The 13,218-nt window shown below is 38.4% G+C and overlaps 1 protein-coding gene and 1 long non-coding RNA gene across 29 annotated transcripts in view, besides 1 other annotated feature; one reads left to right on the top strand and one right to left on the bottom strand.

Annotated features, from left to right (window-relative positions):
* LOC105378694 (uncharacterized) overlaps window positions 1-7,834 on the top strand; it is a 41,351-nt gene extending 33,517 nt beyond the window's left edge. For all 3 annotated transcript variants that reach the window (XR_001738038.2, XR_001738037.3, XR_007066060.1), the window contains 2 exons: window positions 965-1,079; window positions 7,747-7,834. This is a non-coding gene — a long non-coding RNA (uncharacterized LOC105378694). The remainder of the gene's footprint in view (window positions 1-964; window positions 1,080-7,746) is intronic.
* MAST2 (microtubule associated serine/threonine kinase 2) overlaps window positions 1-13,218 on the bottom strand; it is a 232,511-nt gene that overhangs the window by 160,405 nt on the left and 58,888 nt on the right. For 3 of the 26 annotated variants that reach the window (XM_017000752.2, NM_001324321.2, XM_017000755.2), the window contains exon 1: window positions 10,579-11,340. The exons of the other annotated variants lie outside the window; for them this stretch is intronic. In XM_017000752.2, coding sequence (XP_016856241.1) covers window positions 10,579-10,617 — 39 coding nt within the window. In that variant the 5' untranslated portion in view covers window positions 10,618-11,340. Of the gene's footprint in view, window positions 1-10,578; window positions 11,341-13,218 lie in introns of those variants that run through there. 26 annotated transcript variants of the gene reach the window in all.
* Window positions 7,687-7,981: a silencer, noted in NCBI's record as "tiled region #10352; HepG2 Repressive DNase matched - State 5:Enh". NCBI's record gives its function as "represses a minimal TATA promoter and a strong SV40 promoter by Sharpr-MPRA in HepG2 cells {active_cell/tissue: HepG2}" and the evidence as "EXISTENCE:reporter gene assay evidence [ECO:0000049][PMID:27701403]".

Below are 13,218 nucleotides of genomic sequence, written 5' to 3'. Positions count from 1 at the left end.
TCTCTCACTCTCTACATCCATTATTCATCAAGCTCGGCCAATTCTACTTCCAAAATATCTATCTTTAATCTGTCAATTCACTTCTACTTCCCCGGGCACAAGCCACCATCATCCTATAACATCCTCCTAATTGGTCTCCCTTTCATTCAGTTTTGTCCCCCTTGATTAATGTTATATCAATGTAAATATCATATATAGTACCTGTTTTCTGAGTGATAACTGTGGGTATAATGAAATAAATACTGAAGTCAAAAATAACTTTTTATTTTTTTGAGATGAAGTCTCGTTCTGTCACCCAGGCTGGAGTGCAGTGGCGCGATCTTGGCTCACTGCAACCTCCGTCTCCCAGGTTCAAGCGATTCTCCTGCCTCAGCCTCCCAAGTAGCTGGGATTACAGGCATGCGCCACCACGTCCGGCTAATTTTTGTATTTTTAGTAGAGACAGGGTTTCCCCATGTTGGTAAGGCTGGTCTCGAACTCCTGACCCCAGGTGATCCACCTACCTCGGTCGCCCAAAGTGCTGGGATTACAGGCGTGAGCCACCGTGCCCGGCCAAAAATAACTTTTTTAAATGTGTCCTTTCTCTCTTATAATTCTGCAATGGATAAAGTCTAAAATCCTTTCTGTAGTCTACAGGGCACTACTTGGCTCTGACTGCCTCCCTCCTCAGTATCATTTGCATAATTCTCCAGTCTTATTGGAGTTTTGGACTCAGACTTGCCATGCTTTCTTTCACCTTCAGGTCTTCACACTTACTGTTCTCCTGGTCTGGATTACTTTTCTTTATCTCTTTTTATACATTCCTGGACTTCAGCTTAAACTTCGTTTCCTCTGGCAAGTTTTTCTACAGTTTCCCCAGCCTCCTTCCATATATTATCCAAATATTCCTTTAATTCCTCAATCATACCTACTTCACTGGTTACTATAATTATTTGCTAAATTATCTGTTTTCTTTGACTGTTAGCTCCAGGAGAGTAGGAATTAGTCTTGCTCTCAAGGACATTCCTGGCACCCAGCAGAATACCTAGCCTAGTAGGCAACAAATGAATACTGGATGAATAAATCTATGAATCCATCAAGTAAGTAAATGGTTCATACTATTATTGTTATCATCATTATAAGGCAATTATAAGACAATAGGGTCCTGCCTACCAGTTTGGAGTTGCATTGATGAAAACTATCAATTGCAATAATTTCAGCAAGAAGCTTTACTAGGGGAAGAATATGCTCTATTATCACATATTATTTACTGACAGTCTCCTGGCTGGTAGTTACTCCATGGAGAGTCGGAATGCTTTAAGAAGAGAAAAATATTACCGAGGAAGAAAATCTATGTTAATATCATTTACTATCTAGTCTTAAAAGGAACATTATCTCCTGACCTCGTGATCCACTTGCCTCCGCCTCCCAAAGCGCTGGGATTATAGGCGTGAGCCACCATGCCTGGTCAAGAACACAAAATTTAAAGTTTGGAAAACTAGGCTTCTGTCGTGGCTCAAAAACATGTAACTGTGTGACCTGGGATTCCATCTACCTCAAAGGCTTAGATACAGCAGTTGTAAAAGTCAAATAAAGTAACGTACATGAAAATACTTTAGACCAGTCACAGTGGCTCACACCTGTAATCCCAGCACTTTGGGATGCCGAGGCGAGAGGATTGCTTGAGCTCAGGAGTTCGAGACCAGACTGGGCAACATGGTGAAACCCCATCTCTACAAAAACTACAAAAAATAGCTGGGCATATTGGCATGTGCCAGCAGTCCCAGCTACTCAGGGGGCTGAGGTGGGAAGATCACTTGAGCTTGGGAGGCAGAGGCTGCAGTAAGCCAAGATCACACCACTGCACTCCAGCCTGGGCAACAGAGAGAGATTCTGTCTCAAGAAGAAAAAACAAAAACAAACAAACAAAAACCTTTATTCTATAAATAATGTGTTATTCTCATTTGAGTTTGATGAACAGCTTGATGATATTAACAGGATATTTCTACATGGTATAAAGAAACTAGGACTCAGAAAAATATGTGAATGCAATTCTGCTACTTACTTCCTTATAAAATCTTGGTCAGTCATTAAACCTTTCTAAACCTCATTATTCTTACCTGTTCACCTGAGATAAAAATACCTACTCTGCCTTTCTCACAAAAGTTATTCCTAGGCTTGAATTTTTAAAATAAACTTAAAAGTTTAAAGTAAGACACTTTGGATTAATAATAAGAAATTGACCAGGTGTGGTGGCTCACACCTGTAATCCCAGCACTTTGGGAGGCTGAGGCAGGAGGATCCCTTGAGCTCAGGAGTTCAAGACCAGCCTGAGCAACACAGTGAGACCTCGTCTCTAATAATAAAGCTCAAAAAAAATTAGCCAGGAGTGGTGGTGCACGCCTGTAGTCCCAACTATTCAGGGGACCGAGGTGGGAGGATCGCTTGAGACCAGAGGTGAAGGTTGCAGTGAGCCAAGATCATGCTACTGGACTCCAGCCTGGGTGACAGAGCAAGACCCTGTCTCAAAAAAGAGAAAAAAAAAAAAATAGGAAGAAGAAACTGCATTTTTCTAATCTAACCCACCAGTAGCGAAGCTCTAAAGCTAAGTGATAAGATGCTATTCTCTAAAAACTAACCCCACCCCCAATACTCCATCCCTATCACTCCACCCCAAATATTCAAGGTATATTGTTTTAACAGTCTCCAAAATTTTATTACCATTTGGACCCTCAAATTGATACACTTTGATACTTTCTGCCAATGATGATATTTCCCAAAGAACTTTAAGTAATGTTTGACTATATTGAACAAAATAAAAGATATTAAACTATATTCTGAAGTTACAAAGAAAGTTATACATACTAAATCCTAGAGAAATAACCAGTCACTCTCTTTCATTGTCCACAAAGCAAACTTCTAAAGGTATTAAATAAAACATGAAATGGTGCTATTCATGGCCAGGCGTGGTGGCTCACGCCTGTAATCCAAGCACTTTGGGAGGCCGAGGCTGGTGGACCACCTGAGGTCGGGAGTTTGAGACCAGCCTGACCAACATGGAGAAACCCCGTCTCTTCTAAAAATAAGAAAATTAGCAGGGCGTGGTAGCGCATGCCTGTAATCACAGCTACTCAGGAGGCTGAGGCAGGAGAATCTCTTGAACCCAGCAAGTGGAGGTTGCGGTGAGCCGAGATTGCCCCATTGCACTCCAGCCTGGGAAGCAAGAGCAAAACTCCGTCTCAAAAAAAAAAAAAAACCACGAAATGGTGCTATTCCCACAGATGAGGATTCACTGCCTATATGCACTACTCATTATTCACAATGACTAAAGCCATAAAATATTTCCAAAGAAAAGACAAAGGCCAAGTGTCCAAAGGCAGTAACCGCTACCCCCACAAGTAAATATGCAAGCCAGGAGTCACAAGGCTGGTCCTTGTCCTTTATGTCAACAGTCACCAGCGTGGAGATGACTATGGGTCAAAGCTGTCTATGCCTGAGGCAACTCCCTCCCTGGGACTCAGCCTGGCTCATTTGCTATTGAATTCTCACACTATACGTATATTGATCCCTACTGCAGTAGCAGCACTCTTTCCAGAGAAGGAAATTAACAGACTCTAAGAAACATAACCCAATAATCCACTCCATTGGAAGTGGATAGAGAATTGGGTTTTGGAGACAATAACTTTTCAACTAACATTTAAAATCAACGAGGCAAGGTGCTGTGGCTCACGCCTGTAATCCCAACACTTTGGGAGGCCACGGTGGGAGGATCACTTGAGCCCAGAGTTTGAGACCAGCCTAGGTAACATAGTGAGAACTCAAGAAAAACAAACAAATCAATGATGAAAAAAAGGTATTCTCTGCCACTAAAATATTATATGTCTCTTGATATAACTCATAATTAAACCCACATAATGTAACTAACATAAATAACACTGCTTGGGCTTAGGGTAGGAGTGGTGAACATTCTAGGGCCTACTCAGAATCCACTGCTGATGACAATACCATTGTCAAAGGACAAAATTACAACAGATTTAGTTTAAAGATCAAACTGACTTTCAGTTTAAAGATCAAACTGACTTTTGTTTGCAATTCTGTAACATCTCATTCTTAAAAATAGAATGCGTGTTCTGCTGAGCTAAGCAGAGGGGGCTGGCTTTCTAAGCAGAAAATGGGTTAAGAAAGCACAAACAGGGAACAAAAAGCAGATTATTCATTACAAAGTGACTCTCCTTATAGAGTTAAAACAGAACTTTCTTATCATGCTAGCTCAGGTAAACTGGGTCACCTCTGGTTACAGTGAATTTCATGGTTTTGTTGTTGTTTTTTAAACTGGCCTGTTTCAGTTCAGTTTGATTACATGGCCAAATAAGTTTGGGGGAGGTAATAAGAGACATGGAGTGCTTGTAGTGTTCAGGAGGGGGTTAAAGTTTGAATTTGTTCTAACACACCAGTAGAAATAGAAAAAGAAAATAAGAAAAAAAACTCTACCAATATTTTTAAAGGGTAAAAAAAAAAGGGGACAGTAAGGCATAGAGATGTAGGATATGGAATACAAAAAATAATATGGCACAAACAAGTCCAAATATATCATTAATCATAATAAATGTACACAGACAAACTTTTCATTACAAACAGGACTTTTTTTTTTTTTTTTTAAAGAAAACCTACTGTATGCCATTTGCAAGAGATATACCAAAAGCAAACTGATATGAAAAGGCTGAAATAAAGGGATAGTTGGTTTCTGGAAAAACTAACAACAACAAAAAAAATCTTCCATGAATTTTTGTTGTTGTTATTTTAATTTTTTTTGAGACACGGTCTTGCTGTCACCCAGGCTGGAGTACAGGGGCACAATCATGGCTCACGGCAGCATCGACCTCCTAGGCTCAAACGATCCTCCCACTTTAGCTTCCCAAATAGCTGGAACTACAGGTGTGCACCGCCACGCCTGGCTACTTAAATTTTTTTTTTTTTTAATTTGTACAGACATCTCACCATGTTGCCCAAGCTGGTCTCCAGCTCCTGGGCTCAAGTGATTCACCCACCTGGCACTCTCAAAGTGCTGGGATTATAGGCATGAGCCACTGTACTCGGCATTCCACTGATACTTGATAATGAAAAAAAAGAGTCTTAATACCCAATATTAGAAATACAAAGAGAAACAGAAGAACAAATCAGCAAAGGTTTAAAAGAACAAAAATTTTATATATATATATATATAAACAAATTGATCTCAATAAATAACAAAATAAACAAAATGGACAAACTCTTAAAAACATATACCTTACCAAAACTACCTCAAGATGAAAAGTAGGAAACTTACATTATATACATGAGCATTTTAAAAAACTGAATCATACATTATTCCTGAGTTGGGTTTACCAACAAAATGTGAATGTGGTTATACAATAAAAAATTCACAAATGTTATATACCTCAAATAAATTGAGAAAAAATAAAACAATATCAGATGATACAGAAAGGCATGTCAAACAGGTATACAAAGAATCAAAAGCTGGGCGCAGTAGCTCATGCCTGTAATCCCAGCACTTTGGGAGGCCAAGGTGGGCAGATCACCTCAGGTCAGGAATTCGAGACTAGCCTGGCCAACATGGCAAAAGCCTGTCTCTACTAAAACTACAAAAATTAGCCAGGCATGGTGGCAGGAACCTGTGATCCCAACTACTCAGGAGGCTGAGGCTGGAGAATCGCTTGAACCCAGGAGGCGGAGGTTGCAGTGAGCCAAGATTGCACCATTGCACTCCAGCCTGGGTGACAAGAGCAAAACTCTGTCTCAAAAACAAACAAACAAACAAACAAACAAAAGAATCACAGGAACAGAGATCTTCAAGACTTTAGAAAAAGGAAAGGGAGAGAGCTAAAAAAAGGTGGAGGTCTTTACATTGAGAAACAAATGGTGCAAACTCAAATGCTTTAATAAGCCAGTAAGGTAATATACTGTACTTTATCAAATCTGAAAAACTATCAATTGCAAAAGACACTGTTATTTTTTGTAACAGTAAGAAACATTTTTTAAAATGCAAAACAAAAATAAGCCTGGCCAATTAACGTATAACACACCATCAAGAGTAACACCGCTATTTCAAAGCTGTTATAAAGTAAAAAGATGTGAGCCTTAGAATAGATGAAATTCAGTAAATACATAAAGCAGCAGAGGATAAAACAAAAGGGGACTGATAGAGACTATGTTGGTTGATTTTTCTTTAAATCTCCAAAGGTGGCTAAATAAAATATATCTACAGGAAACAGTCACCAGACCACCAATTTGTGATCTAGATTTACACAGAGAACACCAGAATTTAATTCAGAGGTGATCAAGGGATGTAACTGTAAATCACTGTAAGATTTCTGAATCAAACAGTTCCCTCTACAGAATACATGGCATCTACAGGAATGTATTGTTAACACAGACTCCAGATAGCCAAGGAACTCTAAAGATCTGAGGCTGGACTGATTATCCTTGTCTACAAAGATACTGGAGTTACCCATAATGACTATAATATTTGAAAATTAGGTACTCAGGTTTTAACTGCATGGGGATTATCAGAAGGTTGATAGGTAGAAAAGGAGGATAAAACCACTCAGGAATGGGGGGAATGTCAGAAAAAAATGACTATGAAAAAAACAAACAAAGGTACAAGACTGGTGTAGCTGCAACATAGAATAGGAATACATGAGTCAGGGCAAAGAAGAGGGACAAGAGTGAGATAAATTCCTTAACCTTCAAAGCCATCTAATTTACTGACTTGATGAAAATATCTTAGTGGTACTAAAAACTGAAGAGTACAAACTGAAATGTTTCTTTTATCAAGCTTCCCACAGAAAAGAACAAGGAAATGTAGAACAACAGAAGCAAATAATTAGGTTACATTTTTATCCATGTCATCAGCCTTTTTAAAATGAAATTTCAAGAAGAAATTGAATGTTTGAAATCTACCTGGTTCTTGAAGATTTTGTTTTTAAAGACTAAAAATTAGCTGAATCACATTTTGTAAGATGACCATAATTTATGACAGTCATAATTTGCAAAATAAAAAAAGTCCCAAGGCTTTCTCAATAATAATGCTTCCCAGTATGCATTATGTTGTCATATATCCTCCAAAATAATTAAGTACCCGTAAACAATGACACTCTAAGTACTCTCGTTTTTGAACAGCAAAGGCAAAAAGCAAGCAGGGGGTTGGGGGGGGTGCATAAAAATACTATACAATTTAGTTTTTGCCTGAAGGCAATAATTTTATCAGCACAACAAATATTTTCAATTCAGAACCTGGGAAATTGCACTGTCTATACAATGAAGACAGATTACTATATGTGCCTTATGGGCAAATAATGTGGAAATTATGGCACTAAGAGAGTTGATAACAAAAATTTGCTTATGGTGGCTAGTCCCTGACCTTTCAAAGTTAAAATCATCCCCCATAAAGTTGATTGGGAAACAGGGCAAGTATAAAAGCACCTCCTTCAATTCACAAGGAACTTCAATCTCAAATGTCTCTCCATGTGTAGATGCTTCAAAAGTAGATGTAAGATGAAAGCCAATTTTTACCACAAAAAAGACCCAACTTGAACAGCTTTTCAAGCAAAACAGTGTCAATTCCTACACCGACAGAGGCTCCTCCAGTGTAAAGAAAAGATGCTCACACATAATCTCCCAGATGTCCTTTTACCATTAAGATGTAGGGATGTTGTAGTGTGTGACTGTGCAGACTGAAACTGCTACAGTTCTTTTTCTAACACATAGGAAGCAAGCTTGAGAATGAGGCCAAAACACAGAGGAAGGCAAAAGAGCAATGAAGCTGAGCAAATACACCAGACTACCCAACTCTGAAACCCATCCAACCTCTGGACTTCATTGTTGTGAGTCAATACATTTACCTAACATTTAAACCACTCAGAGTCAAAATTTCTGTTACTTGTAGTTCAGAGTACCCTAACCTATACATCTAGCCTGGCCATACACCTACTTGTCTGTCCTTGAGGAAGCTACTGAGCTTCACGTATCTGTAAAAATGGCCAATAAGAAAGTCCTCCACATCGTCCACTGCTATCACCCCTCCAATCTGTTATTATTTCTTGCTTTTTTTGACCACAACAGTCTCATAATTGGTCTTTTTGCTGCAGCCCTTGCCTCCACTGTCTACTCTCAATATACCAGTGGAGTACAGAAATGAAATGAAATTTGGCTGTGGTTATATGACTAGAACATGGCAGAACTGTAATTTGAACAAAATAGACAAGGTCTTTGCTGTCACGGAACTTCTAAATGCCCTATTTACTATTCTGCTACCTCCCCAAGAAACTCTGCGGAAAAACCTGGAGGTATCAAAGTAGGCTGTGTCTTAGCTGATCTTCTGGAAAAGTTTTAGGAAATCTATTTCACCAGAAAGCAATTAGCGAAGCCAAATATTTATTTGGATTTTCACCTTCAAATCTGAGGTTACCCAGTAGATTACCTGTACCACCAGGCACACTTTACCTTTGTGTGTTTATTTATATAAATCTATTAATAAAACTTACCTTTAAATCTTTATATTATAATGTAACTATTTAAAACAAATAATCTAAACTGCTGCTTTTCAAGCGTTAGCTCTGTTTTGGAATGTTCCAAAGCAATCTTCTGGAGAATGAACCTTAAAGTTTATTTTTTAAAAATAGGCAAAATAGGCTGGGTGCGGTGGCTCACATCTGCAATCCCAGCAATTGGGAGGCCGAGGCGGGTGGATCACCTGAGGTCAGGAGTTTGAGACCCGGCTGGCCAACATGGTGAAACACCGTCTCTACTAAAAATACAAAAAATTAGCCAGGTGTGGTGGCACATGCCTGTAATGCCCCAGCTACTCGACTCCGGAGGCAGAGGCAGGAGAATCACTTGAACCTGGGAGGCAGAGGTTGCAATGAGCCAAGATCACGCCACTGCACCTCCAGCCTGGGTGACAGAGTGAGACTCCATCTCAAAAAAAAAAAAGTAGACAAAATAAATAGGGGAAAAATTTTTTATAAGTATAAGGCTGTAGGAAAAGATCTTCCAGTGCTATGTAATCTGGCAGTTTAGAACTCCTGCTAGATAGAAACAAAGACTCGAGAGGAAGGGCATCAGTAAACAAGGTAGCAAATACTAGAGACTGACTCAGGCATCAGGGAGAAAATGAATGATTTAACACAAAACAGAAAATATTTCCCATTCAACAAATAGGATTCCCTTTCTGAATCCTAGCAACTAAAGAGAAATAAAGATATAAATAAGCAGTGCAACTAAATGGGCTTACAGAGCCAGCCATTTTTAATTAGCAGCTGCTTGAACATACATCACTACTTATGAGAGGTCATCTGAGTACAGTACTAAATAAATACTACTCAAAATAACCCCAAGAAATCAAGGGACAAATCTCATCGAATCAACTGTGCTAACAGGAGAAATTAGTATAAGGCGCTGGAGTTTATGTTATTGACTTTTAAAGCCCAGGTCATACTGGTCAACTGCTAAAGATTCAGTGGGTTCTCCCTACGGGCTCTGAATGTTTACAGCACCATCAATAAGAAGTACATATAATAACTAGAAACAATACAATTTGTTTAAATTTATATTTTAAGTTTACTAATCCTATACATTTTCTACCTGAGAACTTTAAAGAAACTAAAATAATGTTAATTCATGATAATTTTAAAATCCTTAGGTATTTTGTACAAAAAAAGTGCTTTATAAATAATGTCAAATAAACAAAATGAAAACAACAGAAATAGCTACATTTCATGACTAAACCATCACAGGTTGATTGATTAGCTCAGTGATTTACACTAGAATCTTCATTATGTCAATTCTCAAAAACATTTAGTGATAGACTAGAAGCTGGCTTGCTCTTTGCTAACAAGACTAAGATGAGATAATCTACAAAGCATGAAAAAAATAATCATCAAATTTGGCATGTATTCTTTTAGTGCTAAGGATATTCATTAAAACTCAGTTGAAGGTTGCCTATCAGTCTATTTTCATTCACTGTTATATCTTACATACCTCTTCATCTAACAAACTACCTATGATTTAAGAAGGAAAAGATGGTAGGTAGGTAGGTAGGTAGACAGACAGACGGATGGATGGACAGACAACACAGACAGACAATAGATAAGTGGATGGAATGTGTATATGCCAAGTGATAATTTAGAAAAGTTCTTAAAACTATGCATAGAATCAAGCATATACTACCATACATGTGACTTAATGGTGGGCAGATCAGGCATGGTGGTCAGGAACAGAATATGTTCACCGTAAACAATCTGTCAGCAGTAATGTCTAATGTTCTAAATTAGGCTTGTATCCCATACAGGTCTGATTTAGTTGCTCTACTCACTAAATACAGTGTAAATAAGCCCAAGCAGCATTTTTCTATCAAAATAGCAAGATTTTAGATAAGTTCTCTAATTATAACTATACATCAAAGAATAAAGAGGAACTTAGCTGCACTCCACTCTGCCTCCTACCTCAAATGAATTAAATACATTATAACAATCTGTTCAGTACATTTACAAGAGACATTAAAAGGAAGGAGATCAGTGAAAAAGGTTTTCTTTTACTCACCTGTAACCCTCTCCTTCTCAGAATACTGGAATCATCCATAATAGATATCAGACAAAAAAAAGCCACTCCCCAGACAGTCAACTACTAGTGCCTACTTACTGCTGGATAAAGAGGCAAACAATCCTTTCAGCACACCACTAACCCACTGTTCCACTAAACCAGTTATCCCTCTGTCCAGCGTAAGTATACAATCACTGCCTCATATCAGAATCACGTCTTTCTTCACAGAAGTATAGATACATCTCATCTGAAGCACTGCCAAATAGCGGAAAGACTTCATATTTGTTTTCATTTTCCATGCATACCCCTTTGGTTGAAATTATTTGAAGTACTAAGAAAAGAACAAAAGGTTCCGGGGGAAAAATTCCAATCTTTGATATCCTGACTTTGCTGCTTATTAAAAAGGTTTAGCAAACAAAACAAGAGTCTCCACCTACAGCTACTAAGCTTATAAAATCCATGTCACGTTTTCCTTTCCAGAAACAAAACCACTCCACATACGTTTTTAAAAAGATGACAATTCTTCAGAAATACAAAGAAAAACATACGATTCTGATGCCTGTATTTTAGACTCAAAATGATATAAAACCAGTTATTGTTTTGACTAAGTCGGCAAAATTCCTTTCATCCTTTGTACAGACAAAGCAAATGTCAGATTCTTTCGATACTGTCAGGGGCTCTTTTGTTTCTTTATCGCTAGACTCACTGGTCTTCACTTCTTGGACAGTAACGAAAGCCTCTTTCTTCAGGAGCTAGATCATTGCTAAGGTCGGTTTCCCTGCTCTTTTATGTGCAGGAGGGGGCTAGTCCACGTGTTGTGAGTTCTGAGCATGGACAAATTCATTCAGCTGTTTATCACTTACAGTGCTGTCACAGGAAACGCTCCCCATTCCCCCAGACTTCTAAAAGGGCACAGCATGAAAAAGTCTCATTTTATCCAAGCTTTAATGATCTCAAGAATTGTTTCTTTGGTTACTGGCTGCCATTTTTAAAGTAGAACTTCAGCCAAGTTTAAAGATGCTTCTGTTTCTTAATTCATGGCTCAAAATACATAATCTTTTAGATTTTAAGAGTGAAAGATTGTTCTCATGATATGATTCTGTTCCTTACACACTCCATAAGCAACGTTTAAACTTTCCAACTTTATGGTAATTGTCAGAATCTTAGTAAACACAAAGGAAAGTTGCTGATCTTTCTAACAAGTCACACACACAAAATTGTTAGTGAAGGCAGCATTATATTTTTAGGAAGTGAGTTTAACACATTAAATTCAATCATTTTTTCCAAACTATAAGACATGCTACAATAATTACTCTCCTACAAAATTCAGGAGACACGAATCCAAATTCCCTAATTTGACAGATAAAGGTATGTATAAAGCACACAATCAGCCAGTTATACTACCTAAGGTGTAAATATAGCAATAGCTAAAGGCCAGATTCAGTCTGCACCCAAAAAGGAAGAAAAGCAGTCCCTCCTATAATTATGACAGCTGCAACCAACAGTCTAGGGCTTGAAGGAAAGTCTATTTACAAGATCATTTTCTGGTCTTTTTACAACTGATTATAGTCATAAGAAATTGCCACACTGCTGAAAATAGCACAAAAAACAGGATCCATGTCCCTTTCATTCAGCAGAAATCTTCTAATCCTTAGCATAACCAGTGTGGTCTTTCATTGTGAGAGCTAATAAATCCACATTTCCACGGATTCCTTCTCCCATCTGCTGCTTTGAATAACTAACGGCTGGATTATGTCTATGGGGAAAACAAACACAAGACCTGAACAGACAGCTGATTTGCATAGGGTATGCTGTACACTGTATGAGTGTCTGCAAAGTCATAGGCCTTTAAAGTCATAGAACTCCTCTATCAAAATAGGTTTAACTAGCTAAAACATATGTATCAGCAGAGAGGAAGTAGGAGTGGCTTCTAATTTATTCAACCCGGTAATCAGTAAAAATATAAAAAAGATGCATTCTGAGAAGCTATTCAGACAAAAGATTCAAAATTCAAACTCTTTATTCATTTACTAATTCAAGAACCATTTATTTTGCCAACCACTGAGATAGGGATGAGGAAAGATTACCAAAATCAACATTAACCATAAACTAATAATCCTATTCTAGAAGAGCTAAAATCCAATGGGGAAGCCAAATACAAACAAGTAATTATGACACATGAGAAGTGTGCTAAAAGGTATGACAAAGTGCTATGGGAGTGTCAAAGAAGGCTCAATTCATTATAGTGGAAAGCCTACAAAAAGGCTTCAAGTGGAAGTGCCATTTGGTCACTAAAACTAACGTTATGGGATTATCAACCTTTCACCAAGACAGGTTTCCTTTCCCAAAACGTTGTACACAGCTTAAAAATCTTCAACCTGGCCAGGTGCAGTGGCTCACCCAGCACTTTGGGAGGCCGAGGCAAGTGGATCATCTGAGGTCAGGAGTTCGAGACCAGCCTGGCCAACAAGGCAAAACCGTGTTTCTACTAAAAATACAAAAATTAGCCAGGCATGATGGCAGGCAGCTGTAATCCCAACTACTTGGGAGGCTGAGGCAGAAAAATCATTCAAACCCAAGAGGCAGAGGTTGCAGAGCTGAGATCGTGCCACTGCACTCCAGCCACTCAAGGTTAAAAAA

This window comes from Homo sapiens, chromosome 1 (assembly GCF_000001405.40).
Source record: "Homo sapiens chromosome 1, GRCh38.p14 Primary Assembly".
Taxonomy (NCBI): Eukaryota; Metazoa; Chordata; class Mammalia; order Primates; family Hominidae; genus Homo; species Homo sapiens.
The sequence above is the reverse complement of the archived record's forward strand: the minus strand, read 5'-3'. Positions and strand labels throughout refer to the sequence as shown.